Genomic DNA, 22599 nt, shown 5'->3' with positions numbered 1-22599 from the left:
GCTAGGACCTCCAATACAGTATGGAATGGAAGTAGTGATCATGGGCATCTTGTTGAGAAGAAGTGTTTCTATTTCTTGTGTTTGTGTGTTGTATACATGAGAAGATTCTCATAAATCCTAGCTTGCAAAGACATTTTGTTATGTCTGAGTGCTGAATTTTATTAAACTTCTTTGCACTAATTGAGGTTTTACTCCTTTAATCATCATGGTATATTTAGTCCTTCCTGAAATAAATTAAACTTTTTCATCATATATTTTTCAGCTTTATTGATAACTGATTGACAAATAATTGTATATATTTATGGTATACAATTTGAAAATTTTATATACATATACAATATGAAATAACCACAACAATCAAGCTAATTAACATAACTGTCACCCCATATAGTTACCTTTTTGTATAAGAATACATAAAATAACAGCTAAATTTAATAATAATGAAATTATTACTAGTGAACCATTTTATAAGGTGAATGAATAGATGAACAAACTGTGGTACATCCCCACATGGACTACTACTCATAAAAAAGCAATGATACATACTGATATATTTCTACATGGAAAAATCTCAAGGCATTATGCTACATGAAAGAAGCCAGACTCAAGATGGCTATATACTGTAGGATTTTATACAGCATTCTGGAAAAGGCAAGACTCTTGAGATAGAAATCAGGTCAGCAGTTGCCAGGGCTGGGTGTGGGGAAAGAGGATTGACTACAAATAATTATAAGGAAACTTAGGATGATGGAAATGTTCCCAGCCTGACTATATAAATTTGTCAAAATTCACAGAACTATACACCTAAGAAGCATGAATTTTACTTTATGTTAATTACACTTCAATAAGCAAAACAAACAAGTTTAAAAATATAGATAGAAATATTTCCCCTGAAGAGCATTTTCTAGCAATTCAATATTCATGATGAGCTTTTATCTCTGATTAACGTGCAGGTGTATGCCATTAGGTGTAAAAAAGCAATTTTTTTAAAAACAGCGTATTGTTCATTGTGAAATATATATTCACGGAACAGCAATAAGAATTCCTTAGCAATCCTCTGGGAATGGGGACAAGCAATTGAGGAAGGCAGTTTGCTAGTGTCAAATTGTCAAGGGATGCTTAATATGCTTCTTTAGATTTTCTACTTCTCTTAACAATCTTTAAGAAATAGATTACAAGCTGCTTTCTGGCACGACTTGGTTGCTATAAGAATACAAGAAATGTAACTGTACATTACAAAAAACTCACATTATGCAATGTCAAAATTACACTTGTAAAAGCAAAACTTCAAGAAATAAACCATATTGTAGTTCAAAGCCTGGAAAATGTCATGTTAGTAGAATATATAGATCCCAAACAAATTTTCCCATAAAGAATATTAAATGCTATATGGCTCAAGCTTGGTTAGAAGGATTTTAAAATTTCTTTTAATCATGGTTAAAAAATTAGGGACATCATGTTACAAACTCTCAATAAACTAGGTATTGAAAAACTCTTAAGTAAACTAGGCACTTAAATGTAAAACCCAAAAACTATAAAAATCCTAGAAGAAAATGTAGGCAATACAATTCAGGACATAGCAACAGACAAAGATTTCATGACAAAGACTCCAAAAGCAATTGCAACAAAAGCAAAAATTGACAAACGGGGTCTACTTAAACTAAAGAGCTTTTGCACAGCAAAAGAAACTATCGTTGGAGTTAGCAGAAAACCTACAGAATGGGTGAAAATTTTTGCTATCTATCCATTTGACAAAGGTCTAATATCCAGAGTCTACAAGGAACTTAAACACATTTACAGGGAAGAAACAAACAAGCCCATTAAAAACTGGGCAAAGGACATGAGCAGATACTTCTCAAAAGAAGACATAAGTGCAGCCAACTAACATATGAGATACCATCTCATGCTAGTCAGAATGGCTATTAAAAAGTCAAAAAACAACAGATGCTGGTGAGGATGCAAAGAAAAAGGAATGCTTTTACACTGTTAGTGGGAGTGTAAATTCGCTCAACCACTGTGGAAAACAGTGTGGTGACTCCTTAAAGACCTAGAACCGGAAATACCATCGGACCCAGCAATCCCATTACTGTATATATATCTAAAGAAATAGAATAATTCTATTATAAAGATACATGCATGCATATGTTCATTGCAGCACTATTCACAATAGCAAAGACATGGAATCAACCTAAATGCTCATCAATGATAGACTGGAAAAAGAAAATATGTACATATACACCATGGAATACTATGCAGTCGCAAAAAAGAATGAGATCATGTCCTTTGCAGGTGCATGGACAGAGTTGGAAGCCATTATCCTCAGCAAACTAATGCAGGAACAGAAAACCAAACATAACATGTTATCACTTATAAGTGAGAGCTGAATGATGAGAACGCATGGACACAATGGGAGAACAACACACACAATGGGGCCTGTTGAGGGGTGTTGGGGGAGGGAGAGCATCAGGAAGAATAACTAATGGATGCTGGGCTTAATACCTGGGTGATGGGATGATCTGTGCAGCAAACCACCATGGCACACATTTACCTATGTATCAAACCTGCATGTCCTGCACATGTACCCCTGAACTTAAAATAAAACTTATAGGAAAAAAGAAAAAAATTAAGGACAGATTCCATTATGAATAATAACAAAATAAAATGAAATTTGGAAGAAAATTGCCTATAAGTAGTAAGAGAATCTGGCTGAAAGCAGATAAGGTCATGGACTCTAAAAAACAGCATGCTCAAATATGTGATAGCTTTTATTAGGAGGCAGAAACATTTCCAGCCTCATTGCAAAAGGGAAATGTTGACTAGCAAAAGCTCATACTAGGGAATAAAATAGGAGACACCTACCTGCCAAAGAAGATGGGATTGTGCTACATTGTTCTAGGAAGGAACTTTAAAAAAATCACTTGAAGGGTTCCCAAAGTAGCCAAAGGTGGGGAGGCCGTCCATTCTACATGATCACCTGAGACTGAGGTAAATCTTCTGAGTTCCCAGTAAGTCTATTTTCAAATTACTTTTAGTTTGCTTTTATAAAGTGGCTTTGTTCTTGAATTTGCATGGTGATTCTATGCATATTATCTTGAGTCAATCAAAATCTTTACTCTCCCTAAGGTACTACCTAATGTCAAATACTTCACAATCTTAGCAGAGTCTTAGGGCTAATCATTAGAATGTATTGGGAGGAAACAAAGGCTGCCATAGGAATACCCCACTGGCATGAACATGTATGGAATTCAAGTATGTGTCTGTCTTCCTAGAATACTAAAAACTATATTTTCCTTCTTTTAGCTACACTAAAAAGCTACAGAAATGGCAAAAGCCAATGGCATCTTATGTACTTAAAAAAAGAAATCCCAAAATATTGATCAACACTTTCTACTTTTCCTCTTACATCTATTGACAAGGATAAGGATATTGACAAAGATATTTACATGAATAAAATATTTTTAATGTTTGATCAATAGAAGAGTTATCTTAGACCACTGATAAAAACAAACAGGAATTCCACAATTCCAGTTAATGTTGTGGAGTTAAAAACCCCATGACTGTGCCTGAAAGGTAGATGGATCTAATGCACATGTGTCTTTCATTTAGTGAGACATCAAGTTGTTTGTGTGTACAGTACATTCATGTTCTTTATAGTATGCTGAGATTAACAATAATTTGAAAAATAAAAAAGTTAACATATTCACCTTATTAATATTTTCTGCGGCTTAATAGGAACAGGCAAGGCTACCAAGAAAATAATTTAATCTGAGATTTTCTATATTTATACACAAGTATTTCCATGGGGGTAAGAATCAAAAAGCTCTAACAAAAATTGTCAAAAGAACTGGAGATTTTCTTGATGTATTCTGCTACATCATTCCAAAATATCTGATGAAAACTGTGGCAAATTATGCAACTCTAAAAAACTGAAGTGAAACTGATATAAACTTATCCTATCATCTCTGGATAATCAAACTGTCCTTCATATTATAATTTATCATTTCCTTTGGTTTCATTGCTAAATCACTGATACCTGATCTATACCACAGTAAATCTTCATTTGGCTTATAACATCTTTTCTTTACCATTCTCTCTTCCTCAAATAGTGAAATTAACCTTGAAAACATATTTCAAAACTCACCCAAGTTCTGTCTAGTCTGCAAAATTTCTAGTTCCAAACACAGTATCAGATATTTTTGTTCATACATCCTTACTACTTTTACTGTTCAACTCTCACAAGAGAACACAAGAAAAATGACCTCTATTTATTTTGCACTTGGCCAAAAACATCTAAGCAAAAATTTGTATTAATCAAAAAAAAAATGAAGAGAAGAGAAATATTTTTATTAAAACTGTTGCTTTATTTTTATTATAATTTGAGGAATTGGTAATTATTTTTATAACTAGAATAAATAATTTCTCTCCAACTGATTAAAGTATGGTACTGTTGATATGGTTTAATTAACATTTCTGTGTAACAACCTCTCTAAAATCCTCAGCAACAAGCAATGATAGAAAATCATTTGTAATGCTGTAATATTCATTTTCTTATTTGTAGTATATTTACTATTACATTTTCCAAGGATACTTTACAGCCATATACTTTTTTTTGATAAATATGAGTAATCAAAAATTTAAAATCAATGAAAATTATTTTAGGGCTAATTATTTCCTGATTTAAACTGTGCATTTCAAAATACCATTTTGCATTATAAAACTCACCATATTTTTTTGGTTTCTGCATTTTTGTACTCCCTTCCCTGCTTGGAAAACACTATTTTATTTCAAGCTTCAGTTCAGATCTTCTAAGTAGCTTTAAAGAACTAGATCCATCAGAGTCAATACTCCACCCATGCTCCCCATCCGCTCCCACATACTTCGAATAGGGCTCTTGCTGTACTATAACAATTATTTTTTGTGTTTGTCTCTTTCATTAAACTTTGAGTTCCTCAGTGCATTTATTTCCTATGACTGCTGTGACAAATTACCCAAACTTGGTTGTTTAAAACAACACACATTTATTCTCTTATAGTTCTGGAGTCCAGAAGTCTGAAATCAGTAACACCAGAATAAAATCAAGGTATCATCAGGGCTGCATTGCCTCCAAGGCCATTAGGTGAGAATCTGTTCCTTCCTCTTCCAGCTTTTTGTGGTTGTAGCATTCCTTGGCTGGGAGCCACATCTCTCCAATCTCTGCCTCCAATGTCACTTTGCCTTCTTCTCTGTCTGTGCCAAATCTCTCTATGCCTCCCTCTTATAAAGATCTATGTAATTGTATTTGGGCTTACTTTGGTAATCCAGGATAATCCTAGGATAATCAAAATCATTAACTTGATCACACCCACAAAGTCTTTGCCATATGATAACATTCGCATGTTCCACAAATTAGGACATGCGCATGCGGCGGTTGGGGGAGATGGAGGGAGTGGTTATTCAGCCTATCACACCCAGTGAGGGAAAGTTATCTTATTCATGTTGGTACCTTCAGTCCACAGCATATTGCCTGGCACAGAGTAGGTACTATATAATTGGGGGATAAAAACATAAATAATTTCATTGAGGTCTTTAATTGCATATAAAGTCATGGAAAATTGTGAGTTCATAGCATTTGATAGAGTTCAGCGCTGAGATACATTGAGGCTTAAACAGGCTAATTGTAATGTTTTTAATGGCATACATAGTAAATAAATTTGTTTTATAATTAGGTTCCTATTAAATGTCTAACAATATTCCGGAGTTATGCAGACATCAGATATGGAAAAAATTCTTCAGATAACACAATTTACAAGTAAGTAAATGTAAATTGTGAAAGCATAGAACATAAAATAAGAAACAGCTTAACAGTACAAGCTCATTACTTTTCCAATTAAAAACACAATTCAAATGTTTACAATTATCATCTTTAGAAGGTTTGTTTTATTTTAAATGATACATACTAGATAGTAAAATATTCCTTAATTCATATAAATCAACTGAATCTCTCAGACACTGAGTAATGCCTCCAGTGAATGCTTGGCTGGTTTCCTGGTCTTTGTGCCATTTTGGTGTGACTTAATCATGGATAATAAGGAACATTACCATAACACATTAAATTTTTTGCATTTTGATCATAGATAAAAAATTCTTCAGGGAATATCACATCTTTGCAATTATGATCTTATCTGTATTCCACAATTCCAGTTAATGTTGTGGAGTTAAAAACCCCATGACTGTGCCTGAAAGGTAGATGGATCTAATGCACATGTGTCTTTCATTTAGTGAGACATCAAGTTGTTTGTGTGTACAGTACATTCATGTTCTTCATAGTATGCTGAGATTAACAATAATTTGAAAAATAAAGTTAACATATTCACCTTATTAATATTTTCTGTGGCTTAATAGGAACAGGCAAGGCTACCAAGAAAATAATTTAATCTGAGATTTTCTATATTTATACACAAGTATTTCCATGAGGGTAAGAATCAAAAAGCTCTAACAAAAATTGTCAAAAGAACTGGAGATTTTCTTGATGTATTCTGCTACATCATTCCAAAATATCTGATGAAAATTGTGGCAAATTATGCAACCCTAAAAAATTGAAGTGAAACTGATATAAACTTACTGCAATCATAAAGTTCAAAACTATTATTTAGTGAATACAGACACACTTTGCATACATTGCCAGTTTGGTTCCATGCCAAAACAATAAAGTCAAAATCTCAATAAAGTGAGTCACATAAATGTTTTGCTTTCCCTGTGCAGAAAAAGTTATGTTTACATGACACTGTAGCCTATTAAGTGTGCAACAGCATTATGTCTAAAGAAATGTACATAACTTGCTAATGCCTGTAATCCCAGCACTTTGGGAGGCCGAGGCGGGCAGATCACAGGGTCAGGAGTTCCAGACCAGCCTGGCCAATGTGGTGAAACCCCATCTCTACTAAAACTACAAAAATTAGCCAGGCATGTTGGCGGGCACCTTAGTTCCAGCTACTTGGGAGGCTGAGGCAGAAGAATTGCTTGAACATGGGAGGCAGAGGTTGCAGTGAGCTGAGATCATGCCACTGCATTACAGCCTGGGTGACAGAGCGAGACTCTGTCTCAAAAAAAAAAAAAAAAAAAAAAGAAGTACATAACTTAATTTCAAAATGTTTATTGCTAAAAAATGCTAATAATCATCTGGGCCTTTAGCAAGTTGTAACCTTTTTTGCTGGTGCAGGGTCTTGCCTCAATATTGATGGCTGCTGACTGATCAGGGTGGTAGTTGCCAAAGGTATTAAGTGGCTGTGCAATTTCTTAAAATAAGACAATGAAGTTCATGACACTGATTGACCCCTTCACAAAATATTTCTCTATAGCATGGGGATGCTATTTGACAGCATTTTTTCCTCAGTAGAACTTCTTTCAAAATTGGAGTCAATATTCTCAAACCCCACCTCTGCTTTATGAACTAAGTTTATGGATATTATAAATCCCTTTTTGTAATTTTAACAATGTTCATAGAATCTTCGCCAGGAGTGGTTTTTATTTCTTTTTTTTTTTATTTTTTTATTATTTTTTTATTTTTTATTTTTTATTATACTTTAAGTTTTAGGGTACATGTGCACATTGTGCAGGTTAGTTACATATGTATACATGTGCCATGCTGGTGCGCTGCACCCACTAACGTGTCATCTATCATTAGGTATATCTCCCAATGCTATCCCTCCCCCCTCCCCCGACCCCACAACAGTCCCCAGAGTGTGATATTCCCCTTCCTGTGTCCATGTGATCTCATTGTTCAATTCCCACCTATGAGTGAGAATATGCGGTGTTTGGTTTTTTGTTCTTGCGATAGTTTACTGAGAATGATGGTTTCCAATTTCATCCATGTCCCTACAAAGGACATGAACTCATCATTATTTATGGCTGCATAGTATTCCATGGTGTATATGTGCCACATTTTCTTAATCCAGACTATCATTGTTGGACATTTGGGTTGGTTCCAAGTCTTTGCTATTGTGAATAATGCCGCAATAAACATACGTGTGCATGTGTCTTTATAGCAGCATGATTTATAGTCATTTGGGTATATACCCAGTAATGGGATGGCTGGGTCAAATGGTATTTCTAGTTCTAGATCCCTGAGGAATCGCCACAATGACTTCCACAATGGTTGAACTAGTTTACAGTCCCACCAACAGTGTAAAAGTGTTCCTATTTCTCCACAACCTCTCCAGCACCTGTTGTTTCCTGACTTTTTAATGATTGCCATTCTAACTGGTGTGAGATGATATCTCATAGTGGTTTTGATTTGCATTTCTCTGATGGCCAGTGATGATGAGCATTTTTTCATGTGTTTTTTGGCTGCATAAATGTCTTCTTTTGAGAAGTGTCTGTTCATGTCCTTCGCCCACTTTTTGATGGGGTTGTTTGTTTTTTTCTTGTAAATTTGTTTGAGTTCATTGTAGATTCTGGATATTAGCCCTTTGTCAGATGAGTAGGTTGCGAAAATTTTCTCCCATGTTGTAGGTTGCCTGTTCACTCTGATGGTAGTTTCTTTTGCTGTGCAGAAGCTCTTTAGTTTAATTAGATCCCATTTGTCAATTTTGGCTTTTGTTGCCATTGCTTTTGGTGTTTTGGACATGAAGTCCTTGCCCACGCCTATGTCCTGAATGGTAATGCCTAGGTTTTCTTCTAGGGTTTTTATGGTTTTAGGTCTAACGTTTAAATCTTTAATCCATCTTGAATTGATTTTTGTATAAGGTGTAAGGAAGGGATCCAGTTTCAGCTTTCTACATATGGCTAGCCAGTTTTCCCAGCACCATTTATTAAATAGGGAATCCTTTCCCCATTGCCTGTTTTTCTCAGGTTTGTCAAAGATCAGATAGTTGTAGATATGCGGCATTATTTCTGAGGGTTCTGTTCTGTTCCATTGATCTATATCTCTGTTTTGGTACCAGTACCATGCTGTTTTGGTTACTGTAGCCTTGTAGTATAGTTTGAAGTCAGGTAGTGTGATGCCTCCAGCTTTGTTCTTTTGGCTTAGGATTGACTTGGCGATGCGGGCTCTTTTTTGGTTCCATATGAACTTTAAAGTAGTTTTTTCCAATTCTGTGAAGAAAGTCATTGGTAGCTTGATGGGGATGGCATTGAATCTGTAAATTACCTTGGGCAGTATGGCCATTTTCACGATATTGATTCTTCCTACCCATGAGCATGGAATGTTCTTCCATTTGTTTGTGTCCTCTTTTATTTCCTTGAGCAGTGGTTTGTAGTTCTCCTTGAAGAGGTCCTTCACATCCCTTGTAAGTTGGATTCCTAGGTATTTTATTCTCTTTGAAGCAATTGTGAATGGGAGTTTACTCATGATTTGGCTCTCTGTTTGTCTGTTGTTGGTGTATAAGAATGCTTGTGATTTTTGTACATTGATTTTGTATCCTGAGACTTTGCTGAAGTTGCTTATCAGCTTAAGGAGATTTTGGGCTGAGACGATGGGGTTTTCTAGATAAACAATCATGTCGTCTGCAAACAGGGACAATTTGACTTCCTCTTTTCCTAATTGAATACCCTTTATTTCCTTCTCCTGCCTTATTGCCCTGGCCAGAACTTCCAACACTATGTTGAATAGGAGTGGTGAGAGAGGGCATCCCTGTCTTGTGCCAGTTTTCAAAGGGAATGCTTCCAGTTTTTGCCCATCCAGTATGATATTGGCTGTGGGTTTGTCATAGATAGCTCTTATTATTTTGAAATACGTCCCATCAACACCTAATTCATTGAGAGTTTTTAGCATGAAGCGTTGTTGAATTTTGTCAAAGGCTTTTTCTGCAACTATTGAGATAATCATGTGGTTTTTGTCTTTGGCTCTGTTTATATGCTGGATTACATTTATTGATTTGCGTATACTGAACCAGCCTTGCATCCCAGGGATGAAGCCCACTTGATCATGGTGGATAAGCTTTTTGATGTGCTGCTGGATTCGGTTTGCCAGTATTTTATTGAGGATTTTTGCATCAATGTTCATCAAGGATATTGGTCTAAAATTCTCTTTTTTGGTTGTGTCTCTGCCCGGCTTTGGTATCAGAATGATGCTGGCCTCATAAAATGAGTTAGGGAGGATTCCCTCTTTTTCTATTGATTGGAATAGTTTCAGAAGGAATGGTACCAGTTCCTCCTTGTACCTCTGGTAGAATTCGGCTGTGAATCCATCTGGTCCTGGACTCTTTTTGGTTGGTAAACTATTGATTATTGCCACAATTTCAGAGCCTGTTATTGGTCTATTCAGAGATTCAACTTCTTCCTGGTTTAGTCTTGGGAGAGTGTATGTGTCGAGGAATGTATCCATTTCTTCTAGATTTTCTAGTTTATTTGCGTAGAGGTGTTTGTAGTATTCTCTGATGGTAGTTTGTATTTCTGTGGGATCGGTGGTGATATCCCCTTTATCATTTTTTATTGTGTCTATTTGATTCTTCTCTCTTTTTTTCTTTATTAGTCTTGCTAGCGGTCTATCAATTTTGTTGATCCTTTCAAAAAACCAGCTCCTGGATTCATTGATTTTTTGAAGGTTTTTTTGTGTCTCTATTTCCTTCAGTTCTGCTCTGATTTTAGTTATTTCTTGCCTTCTGCTAGATTTTGAATGTGTTTGCTCTTGCTTTTCTAGTTCTTTTAATTGTGATGTTAGGGTGTCAATTTTGGATCTTTCCTGCTTTCTCTTGTAGGCATTTAGTGCTATAAATTTCCCTCTACACACTGCTTTGAATGCGTCCCAGAGATTCTGGTATGTGGTGTCTTTGTTCTCGTTGGTTTCAAAGAACATCTTTATTTCTGCCTTCATTTCGTTATGTACCCAGTAGTCATTCAGGAGCAGGTTGTTCAGTTTCCATGTAGTTGAGCGGCTTTGAGTGAGATTATTAATCCTGAGTTCTAGTTTGATTGCACTGTGGTCTGAGAGATAGTTTGTTATAATTTCTGTTCTTTTACATTTGCTGAGGAGAGCTTTACTTCCAACTATGTGGTCAATTTTGGAATAGGTGTGGTGTGGTGCTGAAAAAAATGTATATTCTGTTGATTTGGGGTGGAGAGTTCTGTAGATGTCTATTAGGTCCGCTTGGTGCAGAGCTGAGTTCAATTCCTGGGTATCCTTGTTGACTTTCTGTCTCGTTGTTCTGTCTAATGTTGACAGTGGGGTGTTAAAGTCTCCCATTATTAATGTGTGGGAGTCTAAGTCTCTTTGTAGGTCACTCAGGACTTGCTTTATGAATCTGGGTGCTCCTGTATTGGGTGCATAAATATTTAGGATAGTTAGCTCCTCTTGTTGAATTGATCCCTTTACCATTATGTAATGGCCTTCTTTGTCTCTTTTGATCTTTGTTGGTTTAAAATCTGTTTTATCAGAGACTAGGATTGCAACCCCTGCCTTTTTTTGTTTTCCATTGGCTTGGTAGATCTTTCTCCATCCTTTTATTTTGAGCCTATGTGTGTCTCTGCACGTGAGATGGGTTTCCTGAATACAGCACACTGATGGGTCTTGACTCTTTATCCAACTTGCCAGTCTGTGTCTTTTAATTGCAGAATTTTGTCCATTTATATTTAAAGTTAATATTGTTATGTGTGAATTTGAACCTGTCATTATGATGTTAGCTGGTGATTTTGCTCGTTAGTTGATGCAGTTTCTTCCTAGGAGTGGTTTTTATTTCAAGAAGCCACCTTCTTTGCTCATCCATAAGAAGTCTTCATCCATTCAAATTTTACTGTAAGACTGCAGACTACACTTCTAATTCTAGTTCTCCTGCTGCTTCTACCACATTTCCAATTACTTCTTCCACCAAAGTCTTGAACCCCCTAATCATCCACAAGGATTGGAATCAACTTCTCCCAAACTCCTGTTAATGTTGATAATTTTACCACCTCCCATGAATCATGAATGTTCTTAATGGCATCTAGAACAGTGACTCCTTTCCAGAACATTTTCAATTTACTTTGCGAAGATCCATCAGAGGAATCACTATCTATGGCAGTTGTAGCCTTACAAAATGTAATTCTGAAATAATAAGACTTGAAAGTCAAAATTACTCATTCATCTATCGCTGCAAAATGAATGTTGTGTTAGCAGGCATGAAAACACACTTCTTTGTATATATCCATCAGAGGTCTTGGATGACTAGGTGCATTATCAATGAGCAGTAATATTTTGAAAGGAATCTTTTTTTCTGAGCAGTAGGTCTCAACAGTAGGCCTGCAATAATCAGTAAATCATGCTATAATCAGGTGTATCATCATCTAGTCTTTGTTGTTCCATTTCTTGAGCAAAGGCAGCATAGATTTAGCTTAATTCTGAAGGGCCCTAGGATTTTCAGAATGATAAATGAGCACTGGCTTCAACTTAAAGTTACCAGCTGCATTAGCCACTATCAAGAAAGCCTGTTCTTTGAAGCCAAGAATTGACTTCTTTCTAGCTATGAAAGTCCCAGATGGCATCTTCTTCCAAAAGAAGGCTGTTTTGTGTACACTGGAAATATTTTGTTTAGTGTAGCCACTGTCATCAATTATCTCAGCTAGATCTTCAGGATAACTGGCTGTAGTTTTTCCATTGGCACTCATTGCTTCACCTTGCATTTTTGTTATAAATGGCTTCTTTCCTGAAACCTCCTAAACCAATCTCGGCTAGCTTCCAGTTTTTGTTCTGCAGCTTCCTCACCTCTCTCAGCCTTCACAGAATTGATGAGAGTTAGGGCCTTGCTCTGGATTAGGCTTCGGTTTATAGGAATTTTGGGGCTGGTTTGATTTTTCTATCCAGACCATTCAAACTACATCTCAGCAATAAGGCTGTGTTACTTTCTTGTCATTCATGTGTTCACTGAAGTAGCACTTTTAATTTCCTTCAAAAAGTTTTCCTTTGCATTCACAACTTGGTTGTTTGGTGAAAGAGACGTACCTTTTGACTTTTGGCTTTCAACTTGCCTTCCTCACTAAGCTTAATCATTTCTAGCTTTTGAATTTAAATGAAAGACGTGCAACTCTTCCTTTCATCTGAACACTTAGAGGCCATTGTAGGGGTATTAACTGGCCTAATATCAATATTGTTGTGGGTCAGGGAATAGGGAGGCCTGAGGAGAGGGAGGGACATGAGCAGACAGCCAGGCAATGAAGCAGTCAGAATGCATGCAACATTTATTGATTAAGTTTGTAATATTTTATGGGCATGGTTTGTGGCACCCCAAAATAATTGCAATAGTAAAATAAATGATCACTGATCACAGATAACCATAACAGATATAGTAATAATAAAAAGTTTGAGGTATAGTGAAAATTATAAAAATGTGACAGTGACACAAAGTGACCACATGCTTTTGGGAAAATGGCACCAACACACTTGTTCAACACAGGGTTGCCGGAGATGTTCAATTTATAAAATATGCCATATCTGCAAAGTGCCACAAGTGAAGCACAATAAAATGAATTATGCCTGTATTAAATAACACTGCCTATTGAAAGCTGTTATCATGTATATCATTTACATTTTAACTGCAGTCATTACTATTTCTTTCCATTATGGATGTAGAGAATCTGGACTAATATACATCCTATGTCAATTTCACCTACAATTAGAATGTTTCCTTGTGCAACCAAATGGTTTTCTTTAACTAGGCAACAATTATCTAAAAATCAAGTTAAAGGATAATTATCAAAGTATAGAACAGCATTACTTACATCCCTTTGTTAGAGAAAGGGTTATAATTTATTTATTTGACTGATACAATTTTTTTAAATTAGTGCCTACCACATGTTATTACTTTGCTTTACAAGGAATATATATTGAAGTAACATTTATTAAAGGAAAAATCTATAGTGCTAGGATATATCTGAGAATGAAAGGGGAGGTATTTGAAGCAAGAATGAGATTAAATAATAATAAAATAATATTAATGAAGAATAAGATGTAAAGATTGTGTTCTTGGTTGGACACAAGATGTCTAGAAATTCTTTACTCAGAAAGCTATGTAGTAATTAAATAACATACAACATTACTGTCTTTATAAAACTTATATTTTAATGAAAAGAGACGAGTACAATCAATTAGAATATAATATTTTAGAGACTGATATGGTCTACAGAGAAAAATTTTAAAGGGAATTATATTAGGAGTGGGATGGGGTTACAATATTAAATACTGTGATCAAGAATAGCTTCACTGAGAAGTTGGAACAGAAACTAAGGTGTGAAGGAGGAAGCAAGTCAATATCTAAAGAGTATTCCAGGCAGAGGAATGCTCGTGCAAAAAGCAGGATTACAGCTGATGTGTTAGACAAATATGTAAGAGATTGGCGTGGCTGGAGCAGAGTTAGTGTTGGGGAGAAAAGTATGAAAGGAATCTTTTTTTTCTGAGCAGTATGTCTCCACAGTAGGCCTAATATATTGAGTAAATCATGCTGTAATCAGATGTGAGCCAGGAGAGGTAAATGGGGCAAATAGGTAAAAACTGGGGGGAAAAAACCCAATAAATATCCTACAGCAGTAAACTGGTTACATGTACTATGGAAAGTCTATACAACGAGATTTTTTTGAAATCTCATTACCAAGAATGGGTTAGATGTAAATGTGTTGTCTATTAGAAGATTTCAATGGACAGGGACAGTACTGTGCATATATCATGATCCCTTCTGTGTACATTAATACATGATCCTTATGTCAGAAAAGTGCTTTCTAAAGGATACGTAAGAAAGTTAATAGCAGCAATCTTTAGGACAGAAGATTCAGAGGCAGGGTGGAATATAAGAAAAGCTTTTACTTTTCAATTTATGGTTTTTCTATACCATGGTTTTTGTTTTTTTGACCACCTGTATTGTTACTTTTATTGTAAAAAAAAAAAAAAGAAAGAAAAGAAAAGAAAAAAGAGACATTTTTTGGCATGGTTTCTGTCAAATCTCATCAGCAGTAGATTTAAGAGTTTTGCCTTTTGCCCTTTGAGTGCCAACTCAGCATCCGCAAAATGAATTTTGCAAGTGTTCTGTTTCCTAACTTCCTTTATCAGAGCCTAGTCCAATGACTTTACTAAAGTCAAGACAATTTCACTAAGAAAAATCAGTTCCTCAATTTGAGCTTCTTGGCTACTTAGCAACTACGTGCATCTTAGCACTCTCATTTCCACAACTTCTCCATGCTGACTCCTGTACCAACCAACTATAATCACACATATGAACACATTCACTCCTGCCTCCATACTGCCAATAAGCTGTCTTCTACCACCCAGAAATGCATTTCCCTCTCCTCTCAGAGAAAGCCTCTTCTTTCAAAACTCTCCTCCCATGTGAAAAATTCCTAAATTCATTTCCAACTCATTTTTATCACGGAGCATTCCTAAACATAATTTAATTTGTATTAACCCTATGCAGGTATCAGTTCTGTTTCTGTATTAAGGTACTCTCTTAGAGAGCAGAAGTTAAGGCTTTCTTAATGTATCTTCCCATCTTGACCTAATATGATGCTCCTCACACAACAGGTGATCTCTCCATGGTTAATTCTATTAATTTATATTGCTTAGAAAGTAATTCTATAAAAACATAGGGAATGATAGTGCCTAGAGTGGTCTAATAACCTCAAACTCTTTGTGTAAATTCTGTGGATTTACCTGCTCCTCTTTCATTACACTCTCTTTCTAGGATGATTTTTGCTACTGTAGAAACTGGAAAGCTAAAAATTGTATTTCTCAGTCTCCTCTGTGAAATTATTGAGATATTTTGAAGGTGAAAGTAAGGCAAAGGGTATCCTCTTAACTCATTTTACTGTTTTTGTTTTTTAGCCCCAACAAGCAAAGTCTTGATAGAATATGAGAGGGTTTTCTGTAGCAGATTTCTGTGCCTATTCTTCAGCTTTCTGTGTGGCAAGAGGCAGTTGTGGTAGAGGTGGTGGCAGAATATATGTTCCCAGGCCCCTTTACCAATTTTGAGGCTGCCATGCAGAGGAGCTTCCTGGTGACTGTATTAGAGCATGGCTTCTTGCGTTCTTTTACATTTTTCAGTTTCACAAAAGACTTTCTTTCCATATTTATGAATCTTTTATAAAATATATTAAAAGGCTATATGAATTATTGATATTATATTGAATATTTAATAAATAGCCTTTATTATAAAGAAGAAATAGGTACAGAAACTATATCTGGAATAAAGGGCCTACTTAAATTAGTGTGCACAAAATAGTGGTATGCATTATTTTAAGAGTTTAATAATATATATAAAACAGATACAGATACAACTTTTTGTTCTGATGTTTGCTCCATGAGAAACTCTACCAAAATGACTAGATGATAAATTTTGTTGGTAATTTTTTTATGGTTGAAAGTCTTTTATTGCTGACATTATTATACTTCTCTGCCACAAAATATATTTATAAATTGAAATTAAAATATTTCATTTCCTGTGGCCAAAGGTTCTAAGGATTTTTTTCTATTTTTTAATTGATACGTAATAGATGTATATATTTTGGGTATACATGTGATAATTTGATACATTCATATAATGTATAAAGATCAAATTAGGGTAATTTAGATATCCATCACCATAAATATTTGTCTTTTCTTAATGCTAGGAATATTCAAATTAATTCTCTTCTAGCTATTTTGAAATTACAATAGATTATTGTTGATTATAGTCCCCTGGTGATCTTTTGATCACTACGTCTTATTTCTTCTACCTAACTGTGTGCTTGTACCCATCAATCAACCTCTCTTCATCCTCCGGCTTCTTGTGTTCTAATGGCAGCCAATGTGGATCACTCTCACCGGCCTGCTAGAGCCCAGTGCTGGCTTTCCTATGACTTTATGAGCATCAAATTCCTTATGTGTATTAGTTTCTTATGGCTAAATTACCACAAACTACCACAAACTTGATGGCTTAATACAATAAAAATTTATTCTCTTAAAATTCTGGAGGCCACAAGTCTGAAATGACTGTTATGGGGCTAAAATAAAGGTGTTGGCAGGGCTACACTCCCTCCGGAGGCTCGAAGGGAAGATCAGTTTCCTTGGCTTTTCCACTGCCTAGAGCTTCAGTTCTTGGATCTGTTGGCTCACGTTCCTCCTTATTCAAAGGCAGCAGCTTAGCATCTTTTCTCTCTGATTTTGCTTCCATCACACGGCCTCTTTCTCTGAAGTCTCCTTCTTCCTCCCTCTAATAAGGAAAGTTATAATTGCATTTAGGGTTCATCCAGATAATCCAGAATAACCCCTGCATCTCAGATACTTAATTTAATCACAGCTGCAAAATACGTTTTACCGTAAAAGCTAACATTCACAGATTCTAGGGAGTCACTCCTGATTATCTTTGGCGACTATTATTCAGCCTATCGCATTATGCCTTCCTCTTTCACATGTCACCATAGATTCCAGGCATTAAATGGAAATTGATGGCTTTTCTGAGGGAGATGGGGAAGCTTATTCTGTTTGCCGCAGAAAGGTACACAGAATAAATGTGAAAATATTATATAATAATAATGAAACTTATAGTACTGCCAGGAGGCTCTTTTTCTTGATCACCCTCTCCATATCTGGCCCATCCTCCTTATTTAGCTCTGACTCTTGCTGTTCTCCTAGAGAAACCTCTCACTGGAGCCAATCAAGCCTCGACAAATTAGTAAACACATGGAGTAGATCCAGCCTCCCTACTTTGGCTCATCTTGCTCCTCTTAGTTGAATGGCCTCCTCCTCCTCTTTACAGCTTCAGTCCTCTCCCATTAATGCAGTGACCAAAAAATATTCTTACTGCTTCCTAAAATCTTCCCCCATCACTTCAGCTTAAAGGGATTTTTGAGATCCTGTAGCCAGATGCCTTTACCGCATAAGATATAAGATCTTGGGCAGTTATCTTTAAATATGACTACATCTTTTATCCCCAACAGGAATGTAAGCTCCTGAGGTCAGACACTCTATTTTATATTCACCGGTAGTTAATTATTTGTCATTCCTGAATATACTAAAAGAAAATGTATACTATTAAGCATAAAAGAATATTTTGAACACGTTTATGTTTTCTCTAAATGTCCCATAACATAAAGATTAGTTTTTAAAATCTTACTAACTTGTGGTACTTTCACATTGTACTTATTCCAGTCAACAACTGCAGAGATGTGATAGATGGTATATTTTAAAAATCCCTTTTGTTCCTAAAACCTTAATCCCTTTTTTTTTTTTTTTTTTTTTTTTTTGAGACGGGTCTCACTCTGTCGCCCAGGCTGGAGTGCAGTGGCGCGATCACTGCAACCTCCGCCTCCCGGGTTCACGCCATTCTCCCGCCTCAGCCTCCTGAGTAGCTGGGACTACAGGCGCCCGCCACCACATCTGGCTAATTTTTTGTTGTATTTTTAGTAGAGACGGGTTTTCACCGTGTTAGCCAGGATGGTCTCGATCTCCTGACCTCGTGATCCACCCGCCTTGGCCTCCCAAAGTGCTGGGATTACAGGCGTGAGCCACCGCGCCCAGCCTAATCCATTTTCTAGAAGACCCACATATAATTCTGTTCAAAAGCATATGGAAACCACATTCCCTTAAATGTTAATAGAAATGGCTTAATAAAGCCCAGTGAAAATTTCAGTGTCGATATTTCAATATTTGTTAAATTAATGTGATTGCCAGCATAGCCTATATATATATATATATATATATATTTTTTTTTTTTTTTTTTTTTTTTTTTTTTTGAGACGGAGTCTCGCTCTGTCACCCAGGCTGGAGTGTAGTGGTATGATCTTGGCTCGCCTCCCGGGTTCATGCCATTCTCCTGCCTCAGCCTCCCGAGTAGCTGGGGCTAGAGGCACCCACCACCGTGCATGGCTAATTTTTTGTATTTTTAGTAGAGACAGCGTTTCACCATGTTAGCTGGGATGGTCTCGATCTCCTGACCTCATGATCCACCCACCTCAGCCTCCCAAAGTGCTGGGATTACAGGCGTGAGCCACCGTGCTGGGCTGCAAATTATATTTCTATGGATGATATTCTCTAAGGATTTGTTCCTTGCTGTGCAATAAATGAAAAATATGGTTCTCATGTCATGAATTCCTACACGAGTATAAAAATTTGAAATGGAATTTGGATATTTGGATTAAAAATATTAGATAACAGAAATAATTATGAATTGAGACTAAATAGGACAAATATTAAATAATTGTGCAATCTAAATATTAATGAGTGATTTGTGATTATATAAAGAGTAAATGTTAGTTTGAAACATTTTATTTTAAAAATATAACTAGAATTATATTCACTGTTATTTTAATTTTGGGAAATATATATTTAATAAGAATCCTTTTCTGTTTGTTAGGTAAAACACATGCCAAATATTACAAGTACCTACATGTTCTTAGAATGTAAAGAGGAATATTTTTAAAGGGAGCCTTTGAATTAAGGACAAAACCTGTACAAAAGTGTAGAGAAAATTTGGCACTGATCTTTCTTAAGAACCTGGGAAGTTATTTTGTAAATGGCTAAATCCACGTATAAAATAAGATTTCTATTCCCCCCAAAATATAAATGGTTAAAAGTGGCCCAATTTTATAATATGTTATTAACTTATTCCTGCATACACAACTTTTCATGAAAAGATCCCACACCAAATACTATTATTTCTCTCCATCCATGTGCTTGTTTCTATCCATTCATCTCTCCATGATATTTATGTCTATTATATTAAATGAAATGGAATGCTGAGAATGATTAAGTACTTTCTTAGTAATATGACTACACAAGAATTTCTTACAGGGCTCAAGCTTTGTTTTATTGATGGAACACTTTCTTCAAATGAAATATTGTAGATATCTTCTAACAAGCAAAACAGTAAAAAGTTGAACTGCCCTGGGAATGAGGGAGAGGCAATAGGAGGAACATTCTCTCATTTAACAACTTTTTCTTGGTCCTCCAAAATACATTTGAGGAATTTTTAGGGCTCCATGGAAGAGGAATATATAATATGTTCTGGTAAGATACAGAGTATATTGTGTGCTTCATAAAAACTTTTGTCCCAAAACTGAAAATATAAAGTTCAATCATTTAGTGTTAACGCTAAGCTATTTGATTATTTCATCTGGAATTTTCCGTCTGGAATTCCATATGGTTCTAGAAAGCCAATATTTACAGTATGTACATGTAGTAAACAGGTGTATACATAAAATGCTCCCTTGCTCTCACCTTACTTTTCCAGTTCTCTCTCTCAACCTTCCCAGTACATGCTATGTTCCAACTAAAAATAAATGCTTTCTGCTCCTAAATAATTGTTTTTTCTTTCTATCTCTGTGCTTCTGAATTTGTCATTCTCTGTCAGGGATTCTGCCTTGCTTCCACCATTCACCAACTCAAGATTCTTACCACTTGGATGTAAAGCTTTCTGATAATCACAACTAAATGTGGCTTCCAACCTTGGTCTGTGACACTCTGCTTACGAGTCTCTTAAAAGACTTTCAATTAAAAAGCATTCTCTTTATAGTTCTCTTAAGACACAAATCCTATTTTGCCTTAAGAAATATAGATTTTGTGAATTTGTTAATCCCTCAGCTAAACTGTAAGTATATTCAGGGAGCTATATTAGGGAAAGCTGGCAGCCCCTGAGTGTTGAATATAGTGTGGAATCTGTCAGAACTGTTTATGGAAGGGCCATAGATAGAAATATTACCTATTCTCTATGACTCTGCCCCTCCAAGCATCAAACAATTGGCAGGAACAATGTATGATCACTGTCTAGAACAAATGAGTAAACATTACTAGTTTGAATTAATAAAATTAAAAACCCCATCAGAATTCCTTCAGCACTTAGAGAATTTGTCTGTTAGCAAGAAAGTGTGCACTGGATTCAGATACTTTAGAAAGAAGTCTTGTACTTTTCAATATTTGGCCAGGGTGAGGCTAGACTATGTTAACAGGGGAAAGGTGAAGTGTGTGCTTACTCTGGCGTAGTAGAGGCTCTGAATCCCAAGCACAACCAACTCAGACTACTTATTCCCATGGAAATAAGGTATGACCACAGTTGAACAATGAAATATTCTAGAGAGTTATGAAATTTCCCTTCCTCTGTTCCCCCCTTTTCTTTCTGCTTTCTGTTCTCTGTTCTGTTCTATTCTGTGCCTCAAGAGAGGGGAAAAGAAGCCACAAAAACATGAGTCAGAGTTTCCAGCATCTCTAATGCAGTCACTGCCCGGGCTAAAGCACTTCACTGAGGCAGGTTCCTGTTGCCCGATCAGTCTTATTGCTGGAGTCAGGGAGGGACAGTGCTTGTGTGGCTCTGCTCACATCATCCACTCTTCATCAATGCTATGTATTGCTTAATTTGAAAAGCCTAAACCATGCAAATTATCAAACAACAATGGCTGAGAACTGTATTACTGCATTTCTGTGGTTTCCATTTGCTTATGAAATTATTCATGTTAACATAACATCTTAATTATTTGGTGCTTTAAAAGTCATTCTTGGGAAAAGTATACAATTCTGAGATTTACTTGATAAGTTGAATGTTTCTATTGTTTTGCCCTATTTTAAAATGTGGCTAGAAAATCTCACATGAAATTCAATAATGTTCTCTGATTTTATATACTGAAATGTTTTTCTCTTTGTATTTGAAGTGAGATGAACATACAAATGATGAATTAATATTGGGTAAATTTTAATGTGATGGCAAATTCTATGGTTTTTCGTAACTACTCATTTTTCTGCTCTGTGATCTTCATGAATATGTATGTATATCTGTTTGTGTGTGTGTATATATATATATAAAAGTACTGATTATGCATCAGTCCACATAGGTATCATAACTACTTGATGAGGACCACATGTTTCTATTCACTAGAAATCTGCAACCTTCAGTAGAGAATTCACTAAAATGTTCTGGGCTAACCTTGGTATAGTTAACAGTATTTTTTAAAACTGGATAACTGAGCAAAAACTGTTGCCTAAAAACTATTGCAAAATATATCCTTATACTTTCCTGACTTGATAAACAGAAGCTGCAGATCAAAATGTAACATCTTTGGTGACCATCCTGAGAATGAGTTCTCATTGTGCTGTGATTCTGAAGAGATTATTCTAAAATTCCATGGATATTTTTCGTTTAAAAAATACTTGATATCATCTTTCTCTCTTTTAATGGATTATGTTTGAATGTTTAATTGTTGAGACTTTGTATAATTAAGCTCTAGCTACAGTCAGAGAGTAAAACATCAAGAAGAGTTAGTTACCATGGAGCTGGGTCAGGAGAGTAGATTTAACCTTCATTCAATAGCCACCTCTAGGAACTAAACACTTTCTCAGCCATCCTTTAAGAGATTATCTTAATGAAATTGAGTTTTACCAATTTTATATCTAAATTAATCCAGTCTAAGTTAATATCATGGGCCATAGTGTAGTGCAGAATTTTCCAAAGGGTATTCCTCAGAACAGAAGTTCTTTGAAGTGTTCTATATAATAAAAGTTCAGTTACCCAAGCATTTTGGGAAACATAACACATTTTAGACTCTACTTTGAGATTTAAATTATACATCTTAAAGGCTCTGAATTTTTCAGGTAAGAAATATGTCTAATTTTTACTTAGCATTTCTTAAATTTATTTTACCACAAGATACATTTTTCTCCCTCTGCCCCAACAACACTCATAAACATCTTGTAAAATTGAT

General features: G+C 35.6%; 1 protein-coding gene across 10 annotated transcripts in view, besides 1 other annotated feature; it reads right to left on the bottom strand.

The window, feature by feature from the left end:
* XRCC4 (X-ray repair cross complementing 4) overlaps positions 1-22599 on the bottom strand; it is a 296927-nt gene that overhangs the window by 46562 nt on the left and 227766 nt on the right. For 2 of the 10 annotated variants that reach the window (XM_047417696.1, NM_001318013.2), the window contains exon 8: positions 16844-17123. The exons of the other annotated variants lie outside the window; for them this stretch is intronic. In XM_047417696.1, coding sequence (XP_047273652.1) covers positions 17084-17123 — 40 coding nt within the window. In that variant the 3' untranslated portion in view covers positions 16844-17083. Of the gene's footprint in view, positions 1-16843; positions 17124-22599 lie in introns of those variants that run through there. 10 annotated transcript variants of the gene reach the window in all.
* Positions 20849-20988: an enhancer, noted in NCBI's record as "active region_22741". NCBI's record gives its function as "activates an Ori minimal core promoter by ATAC-STARR-seq in GM12878 lymphoblastoid cells {active_cell/tissue: GM12878}" and the evidence as "EXISTENCE:reporter gene assay evidence [ECO:0000049][PMID:35858748]".

This window comes from Homo sapiens, chromosome 5 (assembly GCF_000001405.40).
Source record: "Homo sapiens chromosome 5, GRCh38.p14 Primary Assembly".
Lineage (NCBI taxonomy): Eukaryota > Metazoa > Chordata > Mammalia > Primates > Hominidae > Homo > Homo sapiens.
The sequence above is the reverse complement of the archived record's forward strand: the minus strand, read 5'-3'. Positions and strand labels throughout refer to the sequence as shown.